General features: G+C 53.5%; 6 annotated features.

The window, feature by feature from the left end:
• Positions 10,457-11,050: an enhancer, noted in NCBI's record as "H3K27ac-H3K4me1 hESC enhancer chr5:176211747-176212340 (GRCh37/hg19 assembly coordinates)". NCBI's record gives its function as "activates a minimal SCP1, AML or CMV promoter by ChIP-STARR-seq in naive H9 embryonic stem cells {active_cell/tissue: H9 hESC(naive)}" and the evidence as "EXISTENCE:reporter gene assay evidence [ECO:0000049][PMID:30033119]".
• Positions 11,645-12,238: an enhancer, noted in NCBI's record as "H3K4me1 hESC enhancer chr5:176212935-176213528 (GRCh37/hg19 assembly coordinates)". NCBI's record gives its function as "activates a minimal SCP1, AML or CMV promoter by ChIP-STARR-seq in naive H9 embryonic stem cells {active_cell/tissue: H9 hESC(naive)}" and the evidence as "EXISTENCE:reporter gene assay evidence [ECO:0000049][PMID:30033119]".
• Positions 13,317-14,516: an enhancer, noted in NCBI's record as "P300/CBP strongly-dependent group 1 enhancer chr5:176214607-176215806 (GRCh37/hg19 assembly coordinates)". NCBI's record gives its function as "activates an origin of replication core promoter dependent on BRD2, BRD4, P300/CBP, MED14 and CDK7 cofactors, with strong dependence on P300/CBP, by STARR-seq in HCT116 cells {active_cell/tissue: HCT116}" and the evidence as "EXISTENCE:reporter gene assay evidence [ECO:0000049][PMID:35650434]".
• Positions 17,987-18,829: an enhancer, noted in NCBI's record as "H3K27ac-H3K4me1 hESC enhancer chr5:176219277-176220119 (GRCh37/hg19 assembly coordinates)". NCBI's record gives its function as "activates a minimal SCP1, AML or CMV promoter by ChIP-STARR-seq in primed H9 embryonic stem cells {active_cell/tissue: H9 hESC(primed)}" and the evidence as "EXISTENCE:reporter gene assay evidence [ECO:0000049][PMID:30033119]".
• Positions 18,830-19,671: an enhancer, noted in NCBI's record as "H3K27ac-H3K4me1 hESC enhancer chr5:176220120-176220961 (GRCh37/hg19 assembly coordinates)". NCBI's record gives its function as "activates a minimal SCP1, AML or CMV promoter by ChIP-STARR-seq in primed H9 embryonic stem cells {active_cell/tissue: H9 hESC(primed)}" and the evidence as "EXISTENCE:reporter gene assay evidence [ECO:0000049][PMID:30033119]".
• Positions 23,869-24,815: an enhancer, noted in NCBI's record as "H3K4me1 hESC enhancer chr5:176225159-176226105 (GRCh37/hg19 assembly coordinates)". NCBI's record gives its function as "activates a minimal SCP1, AML or CMV promoter by ChIP-STARR-seq in primed H9 embryonic stem cells {active_cell/tissue: H9 hESC(primed)}" and the evidence as "EXISTENCE:reporter gene assay evidence [ECO:0000049][PMID:30033119]".

A 25,438-nucleotide genomic window follows, 5' to 3' on the forward strand; every position in this document is an offset into this window, starting at 1 on the left:
GTTCTTGTGTTAGGCGCCTGTTTTTCCTTCAGGTGGTCTCTGTCTGGGCTCTGAGGCAGGGTGCGAGGACGGGGCTCTTTGGAGCTGGCCAGCCCCCCTCGCGTCAATGACTAATCCCAGCCTCCCCCATGTTCCCTCCGTGAGGAGAAGAGGAAGGGAAACAGAAAGTCATTTCCCCCATCTGGATAGTCCTATATTTAATGTCGAATGTCTAATGTGTCCTCGTTCTTCCTGTTCTTGACCAGCCTTTGGCTAAGAGAGACGTTCCCTGCTGCTCGAAGGTGGAAGGAAGGGTCGCCACCCACGGGCAGAGGGGGCTTCTCTTCTCCCCTCTGGGCCTGGATCGGCTGCCGGGACAGATAACCTCCTGTGTGGCGTGCCCACCCCTGGTGAGGCCCCCACAGTGGCTTTAGGGCTGGAGGGGCCCCTGAAGGCCAGCTTGTCCAGCACCTGGTTTTAGGGATGGGCAAACTGTGGCGCAGCAAACGAGTTCATTTGTCCGAGGCCACATCCCCAAGGGCCCCCAATCACCTGCTGTGAAAGGGGTTGAGCTCCTTCCAAGAGATAAAGGCCTGGATGTGAGCCCTGCCCCCCTTCTCCAGCCCATCTCCTGTCATTCCCTGCCTCACCTGAATGGCTGGGACAGCTCAAGCGGACTTGACCTTGGTTGGCGGCTGCTCCCGCCTGCCCATAGCCCCACACACTAGTCCCACGCTGTGCCTCAATTCCAGCCCACACTCACGCCAACCTCCCTCCTCCTCAGTTTGCTGGTCAGCTCCTTCTCATTCATGATGACTCAGCTCAGACACCCCATCCTCCAGGAAGCCTGTCCTGGTTTCCTCGAGCTGGGTTCCTTGACTCTTCTTGGTGCCTAAGCACATCTCTGTTACCTCTTGCCACATTCCTCGTGGTTCGTTTGAGGCCCGTCTTCCCACCAACACCACACAGAGCTTTTTGAGGGCTGAGAATAAACCCAAGTCATCTACGTCTCTCCAGGAACACGTGTTTATTAAATGAATGAATGAATGAATGAATGAACGAACAAACCAGAAGCTGGGTGACGGTCGCTGTCATGGAGTAGAAAGAAAGACTCTTGGGTTAGGGATCGGGACACCTGGATCTCTGCTGCTTATTATTTGTAAATCACTGGGCAAGCCTCTTACCTTCTAAGGCCTCAGTTTCCTCATCTGTAAAAGGGTACAATTTGGCTGTGTGTCAGTCAGCTGTTGCTATGTAGCAAACAACCACAAACTCTCAGAGGCAAACGGCAATAAACTTCGTAGATGTGCCTGACGTAAGATGGAGTCACATCCTGATAAACCCACAGAAAGTTAGAAATCTCGTAGGTGGAAAATGCACTTGATTCTCCTATCCTGGCAAACATCGTAGCTTAGCCTGGCCTAGCTTAAACGTGCTCAGAAGGTTTCTATCAGCCTACGTTGGGCAGCAACATCTAAAACAAAGCCTGTTTTATAATAATGTGTCAGATAGTTCATGTAATTTATTGAACACTATACCAAATGTGAAAATTGGGGGCTGGGCGCTTTGGCTCACGCCTGTAATCCCAGCACTTTGGGAGGCCAAGGAGGGTGGATCACCTAAGGTCGGGGGTTCAAGACCAGCCTGACCAACATAGAGAAAACCCGTCTCTGCTAAAAATACAAAAATTAGCCGGGTGTGATGGCGCATCCCTGTAATCCCAGCTACTTGGAAGGCTGAGGCAGGAGAATCACTTGAACCTGGGAGGCGGAGGTTGAGGTGAGCCGAGATAGCACCACTGCACTCCAGCCTGAGCAACAACAGCGCAACTCCGTCTCAAAAAGCCAGAGTAGTTTCTACTGAGCATGCATGGCTTTGCATCATTGTAAAGTTGAAAAATCGTAAGTCAGGGACCGGGTGTATGTGACTCCTACGTGTGCAGACTGCCTGGATGTTGGCAGCCCAGCCTGGGCTGCGCTGGGAGGGCGGTTGGGTCTGGCTCTGCTCCATTGTGTTTCTCATTTTTCTTGGACCAGTGGGGTGCCAGGCCGTGTCTTATGGTTATACCCAAAGTTAAAGGTCGAGGGGAACATGCAGCTCCTCGGGGGAGAAACTGCAAAGGGTATGGATACAGAGAGGGGTAAAAAATCGAGACCAATAAATCAAGCTACCCCTGACTCTGTGTTGCTGAGGTGGTCCAATCAGCCCTTCCCCCTCTTCTGTGGCTGCCCTGAGTCCTCCTGTCTGGGGAACTTCCCTAACCCCCATCTTCTTTCCGGTCAGCCTGGGCCCAGGTCTCTCCCCGTGGAAATTCTGGGAGCACAGTTTTGTGTCTTCTCTCCCAGCTCAGTCTGCAGTTTCCGCCCTGTACAAAACCTCCACTAAAATGTGCTCGCTCCTTCAGCAATAGCACAACTGCGGCTGGGCACCGTGGCTCACGCCTGTAATCCTAGCACTTTGGGAGGCCAAGGTGGGCAGATCACCTGAGGTCAGGCGTTCGAGGCCAGCCTGGCCAACATGGTAAAACCGCGTCTCTACTAAAAATACAAAAATCAGCTGCGCTTGATGGTGGGTGCCTGTAATCCCAGCTACTTGGGAGGCTGAGGCAGGAGAATCACTTGAACCCAGGAGGCAAAGGTCACAGTGAGCCAAGATCACCCCACTGCACTCTAGCCTGGGCAACAGAGCGAGACTCCGTCTCAAACAAACAGACAAACAAACAAAAGCACAACTGTCCATCTGTTCTCTCAAGCCTGAGACCCAGGCATTCGCCTTCCTCTCCCCGTGTCCAACATTGCACCAAGCCTGAGGATCTTCTCCTCGGTCCCTCCTGACCCTGACACCTCCTGTCCAGGGCCCCCGCCCCCACCCCATGCTCCTGGGGCCAGGCCCTGCCCCATCCAAATATGTTCTCTGTGCTGTCACCTGCAAAATCTTTGTGACAGGCAGATCTGACTGTGCCGGGGACATGTGGCTGGGTCCTCGCTACTAGTGGTGGGATCCAGGAAGGAAATATAAGGCAGTGAAGGGACTGGGTGAGTGTGACAGGTTGAATTGAACTGTGCCCCCAAAAAAGGTAGGCTAGAGTTCTAAGCCCTAGCACCTCAGCAGGTGACCTTATTTGGAGACAGGGTCCTTCCAGAAGTCATCAAGTTAAGGCGAGGTGACTAAGGCGGCCCCGATACAATGTGACTGGTATCTATAAAAAAGGAGAATTTGGACAAGACAGACAAACACAGGGGCAGATCATGTCAGACCACAGGGAGAATACCATCTACAACAATGCCTGAGGCTGCCAGAATCAAGAGCAGAGGCGTGGAACAGACTCCCCCTCACAGCCTTCAGAAGGAACCAACCCTGATGCCTAGATCCTGAACTTCACATTTCTGTCTTTTAGCCCCCTAGTTTGTGGTACGTTGTTACTAGGCAGCCCTGGGAAATTAATGCGGTGAGGGGTGGGGAGGACACCAAGCGGAACATTAGCACAGCCAGGGAATGGTATCTGGGTGGCAATAGGGAGCGGTGGGGACTCTGGCAAACTGGAGAGCCCATAGCCCAGTGGAAGCCGGCTCCAGCTGGTTGTTGCCGCGTGGGATTGCAAGCCTGAGCTTCAGACTCTCTAAAGAACCTGGAAATCTAGATTTGTATGTGAAATCATGAAATCACCTCATCTTTTAATGTTGGCTAAAAATACAAAAGAAAACAAAAATCTGTGGGACAAAATTGGCTGGAAGGCTGCCAGTCTGTGATTTTGGGCTTACAGCAAGGATCAACAAACTATAGCCCACAGCCCAAATCTGGCCTACCACCTGTTTTTACAAATAAAGTTTTATTGGAACAGAGCCGCGCTCACTCACTTACATACTGACTACACCTGCACTCCACAGTGGCAGTGAGAAGGTTCAGCAGAGACTGCAAAACCTAAAATATTTATTATCCTGTCTTTTTTTTTTTTTTTTTTTTTTGAGACGGAGTTTCACGCTTGTTGCCCAGGCTGGAGTGCAATGGTGCGATCTCAGCTCACCACAACCTCCGCCTCCCGGGTTCAAGCAATTCTCCTGCCTCAGCCTCCCAAGTAGCTGGGATTACAGGCATGTACCACCACGCCCAGCTAATTTTGTATTTTTAGTAGAGATGAGGTTTCACCATGTTGATCAGGCTGGTCTCAAACTCCCGACCTCAGGTGATCTGCCTGCCTCAGCCTCCCAAAGTGCTGGGATTACAGGTGTGAGCCACCTTGCCTAGACTATCCTGTCCTTTATAGAAGATGTTTGTCAGCCTCTGGCTTAGTTAAGAAATTTAACCCCTTCATCTTGCAGGAAACAACCTTGGCAATGAGGCTTCTGCTTTCTCATCCATCACACACTCTCACCACCCCTGGCCACCCCTCCCCAAATACACACACACGTTACTCTCCAGCAATAATGAACTACTTTAGTTCCCAGAGCAGTCCGTGCACATATGGGCTATATGTTCATCTGTGCCATCTACGCTGGCCCCTGGAAGGGTCCCATCTCCACTTGTCTGCCTGGCAAACCCTTCTAGCCTCGGCTCCAATGCTGCTTCTTTCATGTAGTCCTCCTGGGTTGCTCCTCCCACACTCCATTCATAGATTCTCCTAAAGCATCCATCTTGTTCTTGCTTGTGGAGTCCTGTGTCCTTGGGAGACCATAAGCATCTTGACAGCAGGGCAGGGTCTTCTCAGCTCTGCCTCAGTGGCAGCCTTAAGCAGTGTGGGCCCAGTTCCATAGGCAGGAACTCAGGGAGCAGAGACTTCTGAAGGAGGGAGTGAAACAGTGGAGGTAGCAGAGATGGTATTGATGGCATGGTGCCCACTCATCTGCAGGAGTTGCAGCCTCCCAGGCACTCCACAGCACTCCAGATGCTCCCTAGAAGGGAGGCAAGCTCCTGGCCTGTTCTCCCTCCAGAGTTGCGAGCTGTTTCCCAGCGTGCAGGAGACATAGTGTCGGGGTGTTCGTGCTCTGCCAGCTATAACCTCCAGCAGAGAACCAAAGCGAGAGCGTAAAGCCCATCTCCACCACAGTAGGAGACACTCGGAGCCTGGCTGAGTATGTTCTACTGGTAAGAACTCATTCATTCATTCATTCACTTACATATTTCCATGCACAACTCCGTAAAAAGCAATGTTTTGGTACAGCACAGAAAACAAATGTGATTAAGGTGCTGCCCCTGAACTGAATTGTGCCCCCCATTTTTCACTCTCCCCGCATTCATCCTTGCCACAGCCTTGTGGAAGGTAGATTGCACTTTGAACTTGGCCATGGAACTTGCGTCGGCCAGTGGCAGATGAGTGGAAGTGACAGCTCAGAAGCACACCTCAGGAGGTACCGTGTGTTTTCTCTCACCTTTGCTGTGGGCCTTTGTCATTGCCTGGGAAGATCCCACCAGCTGGCCCACTGGTCCAAGGAAGATGAGAAACTCATGACCCACAGTGAGACGCAGAGATAGCCAGCAGCCCCGCCCCAGTCAGCTGGGCACAAGCTGATCCACAGATGCACGCATGATGAGCAATAGCTGTTGCGTCAAGTCGCTGAAATGTTGGGGTGCGTTGTTACACAGCAGTAGACAACCCAAACAGTTCCTGTCCTCAAGAAGCCTCCACAGTAGGAGAACTAACCCAGACCCCAGAACATAAGGCAGGTGGGCCCATTGTTCTCCGTGTGGCACCTGTGACAGGCAGAATAATGCCCCCTTCCAAAGTGTCCATGTCCTAATTCCTGGAACCTGTGAATATGTTGGCTACAAGGAAAGGGAGGATTCAGGTTGCAGATGGAATTAAGGCTGTTAATCAATTTACCTTAAACTAAGATAACGCTGGATTATCTGGGTGGGGCCACAGTATCACAGGGTCCTTAAGTGGGGAAGAGGGAAGCAGAGAAGAGTCAGAACCAGGGAGACGGTGTTGCAGGACTCAGCTGGCCATGGCTGGCTTTAAAGAGGGAAGTGGCCACGAGCCAGGGAAGGCAGGCAGCTTCCAGAGGCAGGAAGAGTCAAGGAAACAGATCCTCCCCTGGAGCCTCTAGAAGGAATGCAAGCCTGCCGACGCCCTGATGGTAGCCCAGTGAGATGCATTTTGGACTTGGTCTCCAGAACGGCGGGATAAGAAACGTGTGCTTTTCTAAGCCACCGAGTTTGTGGTATTGTTATGGCAGCAAGTGGAAGCAAATACAGCACCCTCCCCACTCCAGTGCCCCCCAGCCCTTCTCTCTCTGGCTCTGAGCCTGGAAGGCTGACCTTCCTTGACTGCAAACCAGGCTCCTCGGTGCTGTGGCTTACAGTTGGGGCCAGCCAATGGGTAGCACCCACAGGAAACTGGAAGGTGGAAGGAGGGGCCGGGGCATCTCTTCCCCACTCTGTCCCCACCTGGGTTGTGGTTCTAACAGTAGCTGTGTCGTCTGAATGCTCTTCTACTTCCAGCCAAGGTCACAACACAGTGGCATTCTGGGTGGCTTGTCCCTGGTGCTTCCACACCCCTGTGGCTTCTCTTATAGCCCTGCCTGCACCTATGTAATTAGACCCTTCATTAAGCTCTCCTCAAATCCCAGCTGAGCAGCCTTCCATCTCCTGCCAGAAACCCGCCTGATACACGGGATATGATCATAAGAAAAAAAAAAAAACAGCTGCTGATCAGCTTGTACAGGGAGGCACAGGCATTCTTCAGGACGGAGGGCTCTGTGTGTGGCATCTACAGTGTCTCCATGAGCAGGAAGGGGAACAGGGCTCTTGGAGCTGGGAAAGGGGTCTGGGCTTGGAGCCAGACACAGGGGTGTGGACTCTTGACCCTCTTCCTATTATTACGTGACCTTGGGCGACTCGCCTGACCTCTCTGAGAGCTTGTTTGCCTATTCCTAGAATGGGCAGGGACGGGTATATCACCCAGGAGACGCGAGGAGTGACATGGCCGGCACGTGTTGGGAGACGGATGAATGGTGGCTGTCGGCCAGGGGGGCATTCCAGGGGACAGAGCAGAGCGAGCTCGACAGGCAATTGTCGGACGTGCTTGGGGAGCTGTGAGCAGCTGAGTGCCTGGAATAGTAAGACAGGCTCCAGAAAGAGATGCAGGGACATGGAGCCCAGAAAGCATTTTGATCAGGGCAGAAACTCTGGATTCCATTCACTTGGCAGTAGGTTGCCATCGAGGGTCTTGGAGCTGGGGAGCGACACAGAGTCTAAGTGATGCAGGAGGGAGAGAGAGAGGGAAAGGGAGAGAATGAAAGAATGAGAGAGAGAGAGAGAGAGAAGAATGTAGAAGGTTAAGGATCTTTGGCAATTTCCTTTGGAGAAATTTTCAAAGCCATCTGTGTCTTGTTTCTTTTGTGTGGAAAGGGGAAATAGAGGGAAACAGAACTCTAGAATCAATTTACCGACAACTTGGGCCCTGACAGTAATTATTTTCTTGAGTAGCGGGTCTTCCAGCTTGAAATCTTTGCCAACTAGTGTTCCGGAGTGGGCTGGTAATAGGCAGGGTGCCCGTGTTAAATGCTCAGTGAGGAGGACATTCCCATCATGGTCTATGGGATGGCGCTCCCTGGAGTGGTGCAGGATGCGGCCTGTGCGCTGCACCTGGAGACCCCAAGAGCAGGAAGGATGGCTTAGGGGTCCTGACGCATGGCTCCTGCTCTGCCGGAAGCCCCCACTGTCTTCTTCTCTGGCCATGGCGGTGGGATGGATGGCAGGTCAGCCTCCCAGCTTCCGCTAACTGAAGGTGCCCCCTGTTTTTACCTCTGACAGGAAAGGGAGGGGAAACCTGAGCCAGTCAACAAAGTCAAACATAGCCACCTGCAAATGTAGCTGGAAGCCGTCCATCACCTTAGTTACGGCGTGTACCAAAGAGGCAAGGTGAGAGTACCATCCTATCTCCCCTGGCTTCTCAGAGTCTGGCCTGCACAGAGGGGAGGGGCCCGTCTTCTCTCATAGTCTGTTACATCCTGTTTTTAAAATCTTGTGTACTCTAACATTCATAAACGACTTTGGCATCCTGTAAAATGTCATCATTTTTAAAAAATGACTAATTTCAAATCCTTTCCTACATTAGTACTTTATTGTTTGAAAGAGTCAAAAACCCAACTCAAACTGGCTCAAGAAAACAGGGAACTGGGAAATTCAAGGGCATGAACCACAGCATGAGGCACAGCTGGATTCAGGCGTAAAAGCACTGTTATTGGGGCTCTGCTCCCCACCACATCCTGCTGTTTCCCATGCATTGGCTTCATTCTTTGACAGCCTCTTTCACCATGGAGGTTCCCAGCAGCTCCAGCTTTACATCATACAGGTCAAGCAGCCCCACAGGAAAGACAGGGCCTCATTCTTCACAGATATGATCAATGTCCCAGAATGGAGTCCTCTTGCCTGGCCAGGGACAGGTGTCCTCCCGGACATCACTGTATCAGGGATGGCACGCTCTGGGTGGCCAAGCCTTGGCTAGGTGTCTGTCCCAGTCCGTGATCCCCGAGAGGGGTGGTTCCAGGGAAAAAGTACCCAGGAAGAGGAGGACAGATGCTGAGGCCACCACGGGGCAGGGGCCACCATACACTTGTTCCTCATTTCCCATTTCATTTTCTTTTCTTATCTTTGTGTGTGTGTGTGTGTGTGTGTGTGTGTGTGTGTGACAAGATCTCCCTCTGTTGCCCAGGCTGGAATGCAGTGGTTCAAGCTCCTTGCAGTCTTGAACTCCTGGGCTCAAGCAATTCTCCCACCTCAGCCGCTAAGTAGCTGAGACTACAAGCACACACCACTATGCCCAGCTAATTTTTTAGTTTTTATTTTTGTAGAGACAGGGTCTCACCATGTTGCCCAGGCTGGTCTCAAACTCCTGGGCTCAAGCCATCCAACTGCTGGGCCTCCCAAAGTGTTGGGACTACAGGTGTGAGCCACCGCGCCTGGCCCTTTTCGTTTTCAATAGCCCAATGTGCCATCTAATATTGGAATGTATGTGCAAACAACATTCACCACTGAAAACATAAAACTGTAGACCTGACTCTATTGGCTCGATTCCTGCTCACTTTCTTGGGAGCCAGTGTCTGGGGAAAAGTCATGATATGGACCTTCAGAGGCCTGGTCAGAGTGACTCGGACCCTTCTGCTTAATGCAATGTCCCCAGAGCAACAGACAGCAGAGCCTGAACAGAGCAAAAAGATCTAGCCCTTTGCTTATAGAGGGAGTAAATTCACAGAGGCGAGAGACTCAGGCCCAGGCAGGTTCTGGGCCTCCTCAGTGGGAAGGAACTGGGGAGAGGCCATTACCCTGTGAGCTGGGTCCCTAAACAGGAGGTCTGGCCACATTAGAACCTTTTGGTTGTGAGAGACAGAAACTAAACTCAGACTGGACGAGGCAAAATATAAATGCTGAAATAATTATTATAATCACAATCCAGGCGAGTGGCTCACGCCTGTAATCCCAGCACTTTGGAGGCCAAGACAGACAGATTGCTTGAGCTCAGGAGTTTGGACCAGCCTGGGCAACATAGCAAAACCCATCTTTACAAAAAAATCCAAAAATTAGCTGGGCACGGAGGTGTGCATTCATAGTCCCAGCTACTAGGGATGCTGAGGTGGGAGGTTCCCCTGAGCCTGGGAAGCCAAGGCTACAGTGAGCTGAGATTGCACCACTGCACTCCAGCCTGGGAGACAGAGACTCTGTCTCAAAATACATACATACATACATACATACATATGTATGGCTGGGCACAGTGGCTCACGCCTGTAATTCCAGCACTTTGGGAGGCCGAGGTGGGTGGATCACAAGGTCAGGAGTTCAAGACCAGCCTGACCAACATGGTGAAACCCCGTCTCTACTAAAAATACAAAAATTAGCTGGGCATGGTGGCGCGTGCCTGTAATCCTAGCTACGCAGAAGGCTGAGGCAGGAGAATCACTTGAACCCAGGAGGCGGAGGTTGCAGTGAGCCGAGATCGCGTCATTGCACTCCAGCCTGGGCAACAGAGTGAGACTCTGTCTCAAAAATAAATAAATAAATAAATAAATAAATAAATATTCCTGGCCAATGACTTCAGGCATGGCAGGATCCAGGTGCCAGTGAGTCATCAGGAAGCTGAAGCTCCATCTGAGGTCTGACCTCCTGAGTCAGCTGCATTCTCTAGTCTTTGGCAACGTCAGGTTCACCCCCACCCCAGCTCAGCAATTCCAGTAAAAGGCTAGGGCCTTCTTACAATCCCAGGATTTGCCTTGATTCGACTTTACCTGAACAGCTTCAAACCACTCTCAGTAACCAGGGTGATGGGCTCTACTGATTGGCCAGACATAGGGTATGTGCCCACCCCTCTGAGTGAGCGAGCAGCTTCTTCCAAAGCTCAGGGACTGAGCAAGGGGGAGGAGGAGTCCCACTGAGCAGGACGATGCCTGCAGGAAAAAACAACAGCTGTCCCCTACTTGGGGAGGGAGTTGGGGGGCGCTGGAAGCACAGAAGGCAGTGAGTGCCAAGCAGAGAGGAAGGCTGCTGCTGGGGGAGGAGTCCCAGGGAGGAGTGGGGGATGTGGGGTGGAGGAGACTGGCTGGACTTGGGCCTGGGGAGCAGGTTATGGGGTCACAGAGGGCAGGTTTCCTCCCCTGCAGAGCCGATGGGCAGCCCTGCGGGCAGGCAGAGGGAGAAGCTGGGGTCCATGGCCCGAAGCGCAGCTTGTTGCTGCTCGGGAGAAGAAGCCCTGTCTGGGACCTACAGGGACAGACCCCTTACCCGCGGTGCCTCTCCAGACTCAGAGTCTGACACCTGCCCCTCTGGCAGACGCGATCTCCACTGTGCTGGGAAGCTGCTGCTGGCTTCCGTGTCTTCCTGGGGTTGCCCCAGATGGCCAGGAGGTGAAAAGGACACTCACTTTCTCATAGGGGATTCAGGGCTGCTGCTCCAAAGCCCCCCAGACTGGCTTTGTGAGAGTCAAGCATTGCCCAAGGGCGCACCTGAATCTGGCCCTCTTAGGGGGGCCGAGACGCAGCGTGAAGCGGGCAGAGGCCGTCTTGGCTCCCAGGGGCTTGCCTTCTAATGAGGCCAAAGCCAGGTGCTTTTCCTTCCCTCTTGGGCTCCACACTGGGTCTGGCTCAGGCACGGGCCCTCAGGAAATGTAGGTGGGGAGGCCAGTGATTCGGGAGGAAAATGGACCCCCCCTGCCCTCGGGGAGAGGTGCTGCTTTCAGTACGGTCCTGCCTCCATCTGGCTGGGTGACCTTCACTTAGTCACAAACCCTCTCTAGGCTCCCAGGTTCCTCATCTGTCAAATGAGGAGGCTGCAGCAGCCGGGCCCCAAGGCACCATTGGCTCTAGCATCCTTTGGCTCCCTGGCCAGGCATCCCCACTGAAGGCACCTGGGCTCCAGCAGCCATACCTGGCTCCCATCCCTTCCCCCAGGGAGCCCCGGCTTCCACCCGTGGGTCCCCCTTGGTGCCCTGCGAGGAACCAGGCTGGGCCGGGGCAGCGGGAAGAGGTATTCAAGGAGCCATAATTATTGTAAAGAGGAGAGTTTAAGTGTTTAGTTTTATGAGGCAGCCGGCCCTCTCTGTCAGCAGAAAGCCACGCGGCTCCCTGGGTGTGAGTTAATTTCCTCCGTGGCTCGTTTCCTCGGCCGTCGTCATTTTTCCTCAGCTGCTTTATGGCTTTTGGAGCAGTGTGTGGGGGCAGCAGCTTTGCCCACTGGAGCAGGAAGCCCCCCACTCCTCCACGCCAGAGCCCAAAGGGCAGCCAGGCCTGCAGGGGGCAGTGGGGCCACTGAATCTTGCACCGGAGGTGGCAGGCTGGGCATGAGAAGCAATGAGGCTGGGCCGGTTGTCCCTGTGCAGGCCCCTGCCCCTGGCACCTCCCTAAGGAGCTAGCAAAGAACAGGTCTAAATTAAATGATGGTCAGGCTGGTCAGGCCAGCCTTGCTGCCATCCGGAGTGTCCCCATCACACAGCCATGCGCTTTGCCCTCCGGCTCATGGCGAGCACGGTAGGGGAGAATGCAACAGCTTTGGCCTTAGACAGACCTGGATTCAAATCTCAACCTCATCAATATACCGTGCCACTGGGCCAAGTGACTTACCCCTGGGCTGCCATTTCTTCGTACCTAATATCCATAGCACCTGCTTGGTGGTGCTGAGGGGCTGGAGCATGGTAATATATGCAAAACACCTGGCACAGAGACACCATTCCCCAAAGGTCAGCTCGCTTCCCCAACCCATGCTGTCTCTCTAAATGATTCGCCCATGTCCTCTGTGGGCCATGGGGAAATCATCCGCAAGCCAAGGAAGAGTGGGGTTCCTGAGTGCGCAACCAGATGACCTCTAAGAGATGCCATGGTCCACATTTGGGGAGCGGAGTCTGTGTACCAGGTGGTTTGCATGATCATGCTCCAACCCCACTGAGCAGGTGTTGTGGACACCCCCATTCTGCAGACAAAGAAATGGCAGCCCAGGGAAAGTCGCTTGGTCCAGGTGACATGGTCATGATGAAGCTGGGATTTGAATCCAGGTGGCCAAAGAGCCACCTCTCTCCCACATCAGGCCTTGCCATGCACATGATGTTATCCCAACAAGGACCCATGGGGACCCCCCAAACAGCTTTGCAAGGTAAGGATTGTTGGGTCCCATTAAGGATGAGGGACCTGAAGCTCTGAGAGGTGAGCCAGCAAACTGAGATTGTCAAGTTGATCAGAAGCCAAGCCTGTGAGTCCTGGGTGGACATACTTAGAGGCAGGGCAAAAGTGGACTCCCTTTTAGAGGCAGTTTTCTCATGTTCAGGCTGTAGATGGGCAGTTTTGAGAACCTTTGAACAACGTTGCCTGATCTCGCATTACTGAATGGCTCTAAGGAATAATGGAGATAAAACAGACAGAGATACCTGGGTTTGAACCCACTACACCACTCGTGAGCCTGAGCAAATCACAGATTCTCTTTAGCCTCAATTTTCCCATCTGCACAATGGAGACAGCAGCTCCTATGTCACATGAACAAGAGTTCATTACACAAGATGAAGCATGTGGGCACCTTGTGCGAGGAGTTAGAGGACCCAAACTGTCTTCTGGATTCTGCTAGCAGCTCTTGGTTCAACCTTGAGCAAGCACCTCTTTTAGGCTGGAGACCCCTTTGAGACTTCATTAAGTTGTTGGCCCCCTGCCCAGAAAAGTACACAGAGGACCCCACAAGTTTGGCAAGTGATTTGGAAGGTTCCTGCACCTCCGGCAATCTGCCCACCATCCTTGTTAAGCTGCTAGCTGAGTATTGCTGGGTCCCTCCAGTCCTAACCTTCTATGTCTCCATGGTGGGGGCGGGGGGGAGGCACCCAGCTCACCCTTGTCTTTTTCAGACCCAGTAGCACCTGGATTCTCAGAGTGGTCCCAGCCTGTCGTCCCACCTGACTGTACCCTGGGGAAGAAGAGAAACTATTGCAAAACTCCAAGTCCCACAATGGCTGGCTTTCTTGGCTCACCTCCCCCACAAGTGGGACATCTATGGTTTGCCCCCAGCACCCAACCCCTCTTCCTTCTGGGACCATTCACCTGCATTCCCCTCGGGGCGCTTATCCATTCTCAGCTCATGATTGGTGAGCTGACTTCACACCCACCTTCAGGAGCAGGCCCTGATTGGCCACTCAGCATATTCCCTCCTCCTGGCTGTGGCTATTGGTTGAGAGATGGGCAAGTAACCCAATCAGCACATAAGACGCAAGAATATTCCTAGTGTTTCTGGTAGAGCAAGGTTTCTCCTATCTTCCATGGAAGCTGTTGGGAGAGACCTTCATTGTTTCCCTGAAGGATGTGGTATAAAATTGGAATTTTGCTACCAGGAAGGGATAGCCTGGAACTGCTCGAAGTGGGAGGACGGAATGTTCTACAAGGAGCCTGGAGGTCAGACAGGAGCGATGGGAAGGAACAAGGTCCTTGTGACATCTTTGGAGCCGCTGGACCAAGCCTCACGTGATGCTAACACTACCTCCACTCAATAAACTCCCCAGGAGGTAATCAATTAGACTTGGGTTTTCCTGTCACTTGCAACGCAAAGCATTCTAATGGAAACTCCCTGAGGCCTAAACAAAGACTGGATCAGACAGGAGAGCTCAGGAATCAGGAAGACAAAATTCTTTCAAAGGGTGTGGGAACTGGGAAATACCCATCGGCCCACCTGGTGCTGGGAAGACTTCAGAAAAAAGCCACCAAGGCAGAGAGCGTAGATGAATTTTTTGGTATTATTTGTCTGGACAGGAGGAAATGTTGGCTATTTGAAGTTTGATTAACCATCAATTCCATTCAAGTCCTCAAATGTTTCCATGCAGGACACTGTCACATGGTGGAGGACACACGTATGAGCAAGACAGCCCCTGCAGCCAGGAGCTGCTTCCAGGTGAGGAACACAGGCTCGGACAAAACTGACCGGAACATGAGCAAGACTGGAATAAGAGCTGAGGCTGAGACATGGATCCATGGGCGTCGGGACCCTGGCAGGAAAGCAAGATCCTGGGGACAGAGCACCTTTCTCTGCCCACAAAGGCACTGTACAGTTGCCCAGCCCTGTCACTCGGGGCCACCTCCCCCCAGAAAGAGCTCTTTATCTGACTTGTACAAAAGCACCTTAGGGGCTAGCATTGCCAGGTGCATTGGGGAGCAGTTCCTCCAGGTCTAGCCCCACCAACTTTTCCAGATTCTGTATTCCTCAAAGCACAGGGTAAGTCCCATAGTGGGGGGAATGATCTTCAGAGGTGCTGGGGATGGAGTTAAGTCACACTGCCTCACTTGCCTGCTGAGAAAGTGACTCCTTGTTCAGCTCTAAGAGCCTCTATCAAGGACAAAGTCTGGGTTTGGTGTGAGCCTGTCTTTAACACCTCTCTAGGGCTCATTGCCCTCCCTTGTTTAGCACAGAGGGAGAGCTGGCCCCAGCCTTCTTGCCTTCCACCGGCAACCAGCTCTTGCTCAGATTTCATCACATTGTTTTGTTTTTGTGGCATTTATTTTAACAGTTGTCTTCTATTTATGGCAAGTGATATTGGCTTTCCATTTATGGCAGTGATAAAAAAGCTTCCTCTTACATTTCATTTCTTTAAGTTTTTTTTAAACGGGGTTGATGGAAAGAAAAATATTAAATAGCACAAGTGAGGCACAGTTACGACCAAAATTGTGAAGGTGGGATGTGAATGACAGGCGATGGGGAAATAGTCACTGCACAAACATGGGGTGCCAGTGGTGTGGCAGCCACGGTGCTGGGGGCGAGGCCAGCAGGGAACCCAGCAGACAAAGCCCTGCCTTTGTGGAGCTTACAGTCCAGCAGGGGTGGGTAGGGGGAGATGTTACCAAAATAAATCAAATGCGTGGTGTGACCAATGGTGGCGAGTGATTTGAAGGACGGGGAGGTAGGGAAGGGAGGGCACCGGCTGCCATGGGCGCTGCCTCGCAAACACTGGCTCATGCTCTGAAAGCGTGGCCGCGAGCACAGGCTGGGAGGAGGCGAGGCTGCAGCTTCACAGCTATCCTGGCACCATGCAAAAGGATCTAGTGGTGTCGCCATCCCTCCTGGTTGAGGCTGGCTTTGGAGACTCCCGCTGGTCAAGATTACACGCCGCAGGAAACCTCACATCAAGGCACTAGCCTCCTTTCTTCCAAACAAAAAAGCAGAGGACCGTCTGCGGAGACAAGCGCTGTTGCCTGGAAAGCAGCCCCCAGGGCACGGCGTGGGGTCACACAGCTTTGTCGGTGCTCCACGCTGTGCACAGGTGTGGGCCCGCTCCATGAGATCGGGACTCAGCGGTGACAGTGCCCCTTGGGGCTCTGAAATCATCACCTTCTGAGTCATCAAAGTGGCATTGACTTACAGTCAACAGTGCGTGGTGCTAAGTGCACTTTATTATTCCAATTCTTTGAAAATTGGTCATCTCTCTGTGGTCCATCTATGGCCTGGTAGGGTAGCAAAGCCAGGAGTCTGAATCGTGGCTCCCCTGCTTTCAAGCTGCCTGATTCTGGGCAGGTTCTTATTCTTCTGAGTTTTCATTTTCTTGTAACTAAAACGGGGGTAGCCCATTGAATGTGGTCACATGGGGGCTCCTGGCAGCCAGTCAATAAATGTCATCCTGTTTCTCTAGATACCAGACTATGAGTTACCCAGAACCCTATCTCCCTTCCACCAATGGGAGCTGGCAGGAGGAGGAGATGGACAGGAAACTTGGAAAACTCATTCATTCATTCATTCATTCATTCAACAAGAAAGTATGACTCCACCCCAGGCACTATTCCAGTCACTGGCAGTACAGAAGAGAGCAAAGACAGGTAAGGTCTCTGATCTTATAGGAACATGTCATGAAAGCAAGACATGAGATTTCAGCTAGCGACAGGGTCTGTGACGAATGTTTGGGGAAGCCAGCTCAGACTGGGTGTCCAGGAAGGCTTTGCAGAAGAGGTAACACTGAAAGACAAAGGGCGAGCTTTGTGAAGGTTTGGAGGTGGGGAGAACATTCTAGGCAGAAGGAAGAGCAAAGCAAAGTCCTCAAGGCCTCTGAGAGCCAGAAAGAAAGCCAGCTCCCCTGGAGAACATGGGTGCTGGTGGGTGGGGAGTCAGACCCTGTGGGACTCAGGAAGGGGAGAGGCCTGGGTGGCTCTGTGGAGTGGGCTGTGTGGCAAGACCTGCAGTTCTTGTTCTGTGCCAGGGGCCATTTGACAGCATCTTCAGAAACCCCCACATCATCTAGACCCTGGGCTTCCCACCCGCCAGGCCAGGCTCTTCCTGCTAGTCCATGCTGCCTCCTGGGGCTGCCAGTTCTTCAACCAGGCCCACGGGGCACCCACTTGCTGGCTGAATTTCTCCCCCTGCATCCCAGTTCTCCTCCAAGTTGGAAGAAGTCTTTGTGGTTTGGATGAAGGAAGGGATGAGGAGGAGGGGGACAGAGCAAAGTGTGTTTGCTGGCACCAGAATCACAGCAGAAGCCAGTGCTGGAAACCTTCCCAAGTATTTAGAAATTAAAATAATAAAAGAAAACTGAGCATATGGAGTTTGTAAAGTGCTGTCCATCTTCAAGAAGGGATACAGCTTACTCAGAGTGCATGGGAGAGCAGGTCGGAGTGAACGTGTCTGTGGGGTAGGGGCGAACACTCAGGCTCTCGGGTAGGATGAGGGTCCCCAGGCTAGGCTAGCCCAAGAGGCAGGAGGAGTGTGGGAATTCCCTTTAAGCTGCACTTTTAAAGAAGGAGAAAGAATATCCTCTATGGCCCCTCCCTAACTTCACAGGCGTCCCCAGTCCTTCCCAGCCCAGGGAACGCCAACTCCCCAGCTCGACTCTGAACCAATCTTCAGTTCTTTCTCTCCACATCCAAATTCTCAGCCCAAATGCCACCTCTTCAAAGAAGCCCTCTCTGGCCACCTCATCTGGAAGGCCACCCCTCCAGGTACTTTTTCATCACTCTGTGTATTTCTGCACGAACCTATCACTATCTAAAATGACCACGGCCCAGTGTGGTAGCTCACGCCTATAATCCCAGCACTTTGAGAGGCCGAGGCGGGAGGATCATGAGGTCAGGAGTTCGAGACCAGCCTGGCCAACATGATGAAACCCCGTCTCTACTAAAAATACAAAAATTAGACGGGCATGGTGGCACATGTCTGTAATCTCAGGTACTCGAGTGGCTAGCCAACCTGGTAAAACCCCATCTCTACTAAAAATACAAAAATAGGCTGGGCATGGTGGCGGGCACCTGCTACTGGGGAGGCTGAGGCAGGAGAATTGCTTGAACCCGGGAGGTGGAGGTTGCAGTGAGCCGAGATCATGCCACTGCACTCCAGCCTGGGTGACAGAGTGAGACTCCGTCTTAAATAAAATAAAATAAAATAAAATAAAATAAAATAAAATAAAATAAAATAAAATAAAATAAAAATAAAAAGAACCTTGTTCATTGGTTGACTTGTCCCTCCACCATGTAAGCATCGTGAGCTTGGACCTTGCCTGTCCTCTTTCCTGCTACGTCTTCTACACCTGGAACAGGGCTTGGCCCAGGCTAAACCCTTCACAGACACCTACCAAGTGGGGACCGAGTGAATTCCAGAGCCGGTTCATTTGAGTGTTCAGGTAGCACCATGCACAAGCCTGTGATTGCTGAGTGGCAAACAGCACCTCACGCATGGGCAGTATTCATGGGGCTGTGGCAGAGCCCACATGGTCATGATTTGGGGCACTGCTGAGCAAACCAGCCCCCAGCCGAGCCACCAGGTGCTGCAGCAGGTGTTGGGGGCTGCCCATTCTGACAGAGCTGCCAGGCAAGAAACTTCAACCTGCTACTCCTGGAGCTGGGAGCCCACCTGGGAGCTCCAGGTGCCTCCTTCCACCCCAGGTGCTCAAGTGTTCCCTGTGCCAGGAAGCCCACCTGGCACAAGCTGGAGGGTAGGCTGGCTGGAAGGCAGGGGCAACAGGGCAAAAGGAGAAGGCAGGTGCCTTGTGGGCCCTCCCAGGTAGGAAACCTGGCCGGCCCGAGGTCCCTGAGGGTTCTGGAGGTCTCTTGAGTGCAGAGCTGGCTCTGTGGGTACACAAGGACATGTGTCGGGGAAGCCGGGAGGAGCTGCCCTGGGGATGGCCAGGCCTGGGGATGACAGGGTCCCCTCCTTGCAGCCCCTCCCCTCCTCTCCTTCTGCCTCCCCTCCGTCTGGCTGCTCCTCTCCCGCTCTGCTGCATGCTGGCCTCCGCAAGATGGATTTTCCTGGCTGTGCCAATCTTGCTGCCACCTGTTCGCGCTGTGCTGGAGCCAGCAAAGTGGCTCAGCTTCAAACCCAGGGCAGCTGGGAGAACGGTGGCCAAGCCTCGTCGCCCCCCTTGCTCCCTTCCTTTGTTGCAGCGGCAGCAGCTCGGCCGAGCCATCCTGTCACCTGCTGTCAGCTGGGCAGCCCCTGCTCTTCCCCACCAACCCTCCTGCAGACCCTTCAATCCCTCCCCAGGCCTAGCCCTTCGTGGCCACGTTGCAGGGTGGGGCCCAGGCAGGCACTTCACAGCAGCCCTCAGCACCCCACCCTCCGTCCCTGGCCCAGACTGAATCCCCTTCCCTCTCCCCCACTCCCCAAGGGATTCCCCCACTTACAGGAGCCTTCCCCAGGAAATTTAGATGGAAAGTTGAGGAACCAGGGGCCTAAGAGAACCAGGAAGTGACCAGCTCAGCCTGCTGAGCCCACGACAGGGCAGGGTGGCATGGGACACCTCCAGGTAGTGCAACCTCCGAACCTCCGGGAGAGGGAGGGCTCTGGAAACTCCCTGCACCAGCAACCCAACCCGCGCCCGAGGCTGGAGTCCAGCCCTGCCCCTCACACACGTTGGCTCCACCCCGGTTTCCTCAGCTGCCAATGGGCTGAGTCTGTGCCTGTGCACCCCACAATGTCACTGTGAAGAACAAACAGAGGGTTAGTGCCTTAAACTCCTTCAAGAACAAGGCAAGGATATAATTAAACATGTGCGTGGGATAGAGAAATGCAAACTGTAAAGGGCTGTGCAGCTGAGGAGCTGTTTTTGCTTTTCTCAGTGGCGTCGAGGCCCCAGGGGCCAAAGGCTGTGCATGCCGCTCTCAGGGAGAAGATGCGGGCTTGTGCCTGTCTTCAGCAACACTGGCTCCAGCTGAGGGGGCATCTGACAGCAGAGAGACAGGCACATCAGAAGATAGAGCGAGACACAGGCAGACAGACAATAAACACAGATAAAATAGCCTGTGAGGCCGATGGCTCTCCTGATGGAAGCAGACAGGCAGCGGAGGTGGTGGCAGGGTTCCAGTAGCCTGGGGCCTTTCTCTCCTCCACCAGGATCCTTCCCAGGGAAGGATCTATCCCTTCCCTTCCTCCTGCCCTCAGTCATCTGCTCCTGCTCACGAGCCCATGGGCACACAGGTACAGTGTCCACTCATGCTCACAACAGTGCCTCTTGCAGTTATGGAGGGGGCTGGGTATTGGGGGTTGGACTCTCCAAATTCCAGAGACGCTACTGAGGAGGGACCTGGTCCTTGGCATTAGGGGAAAAGATCTTCCCCTGGGGCAGATCCCTTGGAGCCTGAAGAAGTGCGCCTTTGTGGATGAACATAATAGAAAATAGGAGGCCATTTCCATGGGGCGCTAATCCCCTGGCTGAACTTTGTCAAGATGCATCCTTCCCCAGGTGCCCAGAGCTGAACGCGGGAGTCTGCAGATGAGAAGAGAGCTCGGGGCTCAACAGGATCCGACTGGGAGGGCTGGAGTGGGCTGGGCGCACCCTGCTTCCTCTGTCCCCACCACATGTCCTCCCGCAGCCACCAGACTGCTGTTTCTTGAGTGAGCTTTATAGTGTCCCTCCCCTGTTTATCGACGCCCCCAACCCCTGGCTTCCCACTACACATATAATAAGGCCCAAATTTATAAATGTACCCAGGGCTGCCCCTGCCAACCCCTCCCTGCGTCCCGGCCCTCCTTCCCCAGCAGCCTTGTTCCTCCAGCCCAGTCCCCCACAGGGCCTTTGCACGGCTGTGCTCTCTGCCTGGGAAACTCAGTAGCCAGTTGTTGCCTTGGGCACCTTCTCATCACTCAGGTCTCAGAGGAGAGGCCTTCCGTCATCTCACTCAGCACCCTCTCCCTCCTCTGGTCATCATCACATCTCTTGAGTTTTGTCCATTTGTGTTTCCTCATAGCAGGTATCCCTGCCTGAAAATATCTCCTTCCTGTGTTTGTCATCTGTCTCCACCCTGCAGAATGCAAGTGCTGGTCCCGTTCAGTGCCGTGTCCCCATGTGCTGGAGCACAGCCGTCCACACAATAGGCATTTAATAGGCAGGAGGGTCTGGCTTCCAAGAACCCCAGGCTGAAGGGGACAGCAGCCAGGAAAAAGAAGCCAGACAGGCCGGTCCTAGGCCTCGGTGGGCAAAGGGAGGGGCATAGAGGCCTGGCTCATGACAGCAAAGAAGTTCCCTGGGGGAGATCCTGTGTGCGGCACACTGGTCCTCCAGGAGGGGAATGACTGAAGGCTGGGGTCCAAGTCCTTGCTCTGCTCCTGACAACTCAATCTTCTGGCCTCACTGCCCCGCTCTGTGGAATGGGGATAAAAATGGCTACTTCTGGCCAGGGGCAGTGGCTCATGCCTGTAATCCCAGCACTTTGGGAGGCCAAGGTGGGCGGATCCCCTGAGATCAGGAGTTCAAGACCAGCCTGGCCAACATGGTGAAATGCTGTCTCTACTAAAAATCCACACACACAAAAAAATAGCCAGACGTGGTGGCACACGCCTGTAATTCCAGCTACTCGAGAGGCTGAGGCAGGAGAATCACTTGAATTCGGGGGCAGAGGTTGCAGTATGCTGAGATCGCACTACCACGCTCCAGCCTGGGCAACAGAGTAAGACTCCGTCTCAAAAAAAAAAAAAAGTGCCTACTTCCCAGAGTTGCTCTAAGAACTGAATCAAGCCCTGTGTGTGAGAGTCTGTTTATAAACATTTAAGGGTTGTACAAATGTGTATTTATTGGTAAGGGCCCAATTGGGCTGCAAGGGTCAGAAATCCATCTCAAACTAGCTCAAACTCAAAGGGGAATTCAGGGGCTCTTGTCATCGAAGAGTCCCTAGGGTGAGAGAAGTTTGGCTTCAGGTATGGCCAGATCTGGGTGCTCCAACAGAACAAGTCTCTCCTTCCTTATCTCCTTGTCAGCCCTCCTCTGTGGGGGCTCCCTGCTTAGGCAGGCTTTTACCAGTTGCTGGCCATCAGCCCTTCCGGCCCCTACCCTGCCATGTGGCCCATCCCACCTGAAAGGGAGCATCTTCTATGTAAGCCCAGGCTTCAGCCTCAGGATTGGTTCTCACTGGTACAAATGGAGGACTCAATTTGAACCAACCTCTGTGGAAGCCAGGATGTTGGGAAACTCTGATTGGCCACCCTGGAGCCAGGACTACAGTGGCTTCATCTGAGCCACAGAGACTGTGCATGGAGGTGGTGGTGCAGGTTCTTCAAAGGAAGATGGGAGCACCACTACCCAAAGAGGGGGTCTGGGACCCTGGCTGGCAGACAACGGATGTTCACCGCCAGACAAATGGCATTCTCAGCCTTCCGACTGGCCCTGCGAGCAGAGCACTCGAAGGTCCCAGGTCCCTGGAGGCTCCACTCTGGGGCTGCCCTGCAGGTGGTCAGAGGAGTCCACTTCCCTGGGAGAGTATTGAAAGGAGCATCTGTGAGAATGAAACAGAATTGTTCACGAATGTGATTTGTAAACGTTGAAAACACCCTTCAAATGTTAGAGATTATCCTTAGTGTTGTTGTAGAACAGGAAAGGGGCGAGGCACTACAGGATTTTGGAACTGAAACGGGCTTAAAAATGATTGGCTGCCACCCTAAACCCCCCCCTTTTTTACCCAGTCATCTTACGTGGCAGCCAGAAGAATGTATTTCGGCTGCAGATCACATCCTGTCACTCCCTCCTGAACCCTCCGCTGGCTTCACTTTGCTCTTGCAATATTCTAGATTCTCCTTGCTCCAGGGCTCTGGGGGTTGGGTCCCTGCCCACCTCTCGGACTCCAACCCCTACTTATGTCCTCCGGCCACACCCTGTGGCTCCAGCTGCATTGCCTGTCCTTGGGGTCTGGAAACACATCCAGCTCATTTCCCCCCAGGATGCTTTGCACTTGCTGATCCCTCTGTCCACAACACTTTTCCTCCAGGTCTTCCCTACGGCTGCTGCCACTTTCTCTTCAATCAGGTCTCTGCTGAAATGGCACCTTCTCAGAGACCCTCCCTGGCCACACTTCCATAGAGATGCACTCCACTCCTCCTCTCTGCCCCTCTCTCTCACTTTGCCCACTTTATATTCTGCAGCCTCTGGAATTATCTTGTTGTTCTATTTGTTTGCTTACTTATTGTCAGTCTCTCTCCCACCTGCTACCCCCCACTGGAGTACTTGGCTCCAAAAACACAAAGTCTTCCACATAGCTCAAGGCCTGACATAGAGCAGGGGGGTCAATAAATACCTGTTGAATGAATGACTATCTGATGGACAGATGGGTGGGTGAGGGTGAGCGGGCTGTGCTCAGATGCTGATATGACTTGCCCAAGGCCACACAGCTGGCACCAGCAACCAGGTGGGATGAGCCCATGCCCTGTCCGGTCCTGCCTTCACTCTCTAATCTATTTCATGCCCCTTTAAAAAATAATAATAAACATGTGTCCTGTTATTCCCTTTAGATTGGGAACTGGTGTGGAGCTCTGGTAGCTAAAGACCCTCCAGACTCCCACGTCCCACCAGCTCACACCCTGTGGCCTCGGGGCCACCTGCTCTAGCTGCTGGATGCGCCCGACTTCAAAGCCCATTAAGTGGATCATTACGAGGTTAATAAAACCCGTTCCCCTACACCCGCACACGTCCGCCCTCGCCTGCGGCTGCTGCCCATCAGCTGGGTCTGCTCTCACTGTTGCCAGGAGCTGAGAGAGAGCGGGGCGGCCGTGCAGGTGAGCAGCCCCCAGGGAGCAGTTGTCACTCAGGCCCTGTCCCTCCAGGCTGTCCTTTGAGGTGGGAAGTGGGAGGTGGCCTGTCTCTTTGAAGACCCTGCACCTGAGCCAGACCCTGTTGGGGGCCTGTGAGGCTGGCAGGAGGCGGCCGCTACAGTGGGGCTGAGGCAGCCTCGCACACAGAGAGCTGTCCTCTGTGAGCTGCGGTGTCTCCGCGATGGAGGAGGGAAGGGGCCTGCTGTCACCCTGACCCACTCCAGGCACAGGGGGAATAGGGGCTGGGGCAGTGTTTGGGCAGTGGCGGCAAGCCTGGGGTGGGGCAGGGTGGACCCCTGGGGCTGAGGGTCCACTTTCAGGGGGTGCCCTGATACAGGTTCCAAGACGTTCCCGGCGTGGGGTCCTGAGGGCGGGGAAGGCTCCTCTCTTCATCCAGAAAAATTCCATCTCGATGAAATGTACCTGAAGAAAACATCAGCTCATCATGTGGTTAGTGAGGGGGAAAGACACACCGCTGAAGGAAGCATACAGCAAGAGACCAGATAGTAAAAAATCTAGTGACTGATGCCAACATATAGACCTGCACCCATGGAGGGAAAGGCCCAGGAGGCCGTGCAGCAGACTCCGCCAGCGGCTTTCTCCCTGGAAAAACCAAGGATGTGAGGCGGGGTGATGTGCAGTCTTTTTTAAAAACACAAAATAATGTATTCATGTTTTATATGTAGGATTAAAAATTAATTTTTAAAGATATTCACCAAGGATATAATTTAGAGTGCGAGGGTCAGAGCTCCCCTTGAAGGAAGGGAAAGGAGAGTGAGGAAAGGACAGGAGAGGGTCCCGGCCGCGGGCGAGACCCCCGGGGTGCTGAGCCACTGCCCTGGGCCTGGTGCCTGGGGGACAAACCTGTGGTGCCGCCTGTCACCGCGGCGCCTTCTCTGGGATTGGACACCCCCAGCTATCTCCCCGGCTTGACCTCGCTTGAAGCTCCCTCCAAGATCCCACCCTGAAGTGGCTGAGGTGGGCCCAGGAATTGGTTCCAGGACTCGGGGAGCCGCGCGGGGCAGGAGCCAGGCCCACAGACAGCAAGCAGCGTTCTGCTTGGCTGATCCACGATGTCGGGGCTGCGGCATCTCCGCTTCCGCCCGGAGAGTGACGGCGTCCGCAAGCTCATGCGAGGGGGGTTATTTTACTAACCAGATAGATTAAGCATCTCTCCTTCTAATTACCGGTTTAATTAACCTTGGCACACAGTATGTACCAGACCCGAGGGACAGAGTCAGAATGGCTGCTCTGGGTGAACATCGCCCATCTGCTCTGCGCTAGGCTCCAGCGGACTCTCAAGGGGCCAGGGCAGCAGACATTGAGGGCCAGGAGTCTGGTGGCACCAGGAAGGAGCGGAGGAAAATGTGGGCAGGGATTGTCGGAAACCTCACAAGAGAGTCTTGCCATGGGCGCCGGATTCCAACAAGGCTGCCTCTTCAGCAGCCCTCCTGCAACGACCTGAGCAGGGCTGACCCCACCTCAGAGAAGGCAGAGCCCGGGCCACCCTGCTTGGGTCTCCCAGGGGTCCGCAGGGTAGCCAGTGTGCCCTGTGCAAGCCTGGGAGGTAGAAGACGTGGATGGCGATGGTGGAGGTGCTGCTTCAAATTCTCCAAGCCTCAGTCTCCTCATCTGTAAAATGAGCAGGATGGTATCTAAGTCACAGGGCAATTTATGAGGTTTAATGAAGAGAACAGAAACTGAGATACTTAAATTACATTCGTCTGTTCATTCACTCGTTCAGCACATATTCCTGGAGTGTGCACTGTGTTGGCAAAAGTAAGGAATACGATGGTGAACAGGGAGAATTGAAAGACTGAGTGCTCTGGGAATTGACAATGTCTGCCTAAGGACCCCAGAGTCATAGCACATGTGTGCACACACACACGAGCACACACACGAGCACGCACACACAAGCACACATACACACGAGCACACACAGATACATATGCATGCACACACACGAGCGCACACACAAGCACACATACACATGAGCATGCACACACATACACATGAGCAC

Source organism: Homo sapiens, chromosome 5 (assembly GCF_000001405.40).
Source record: "Homo sapiens chromosome 5, GRCh38.p14 Primary Assembly".
Lineage (NCBI taxonomy): Eukaryota > Metazoa > Chordata > Mammalia > Primates > Hominidae > Homo > Homo sapiens.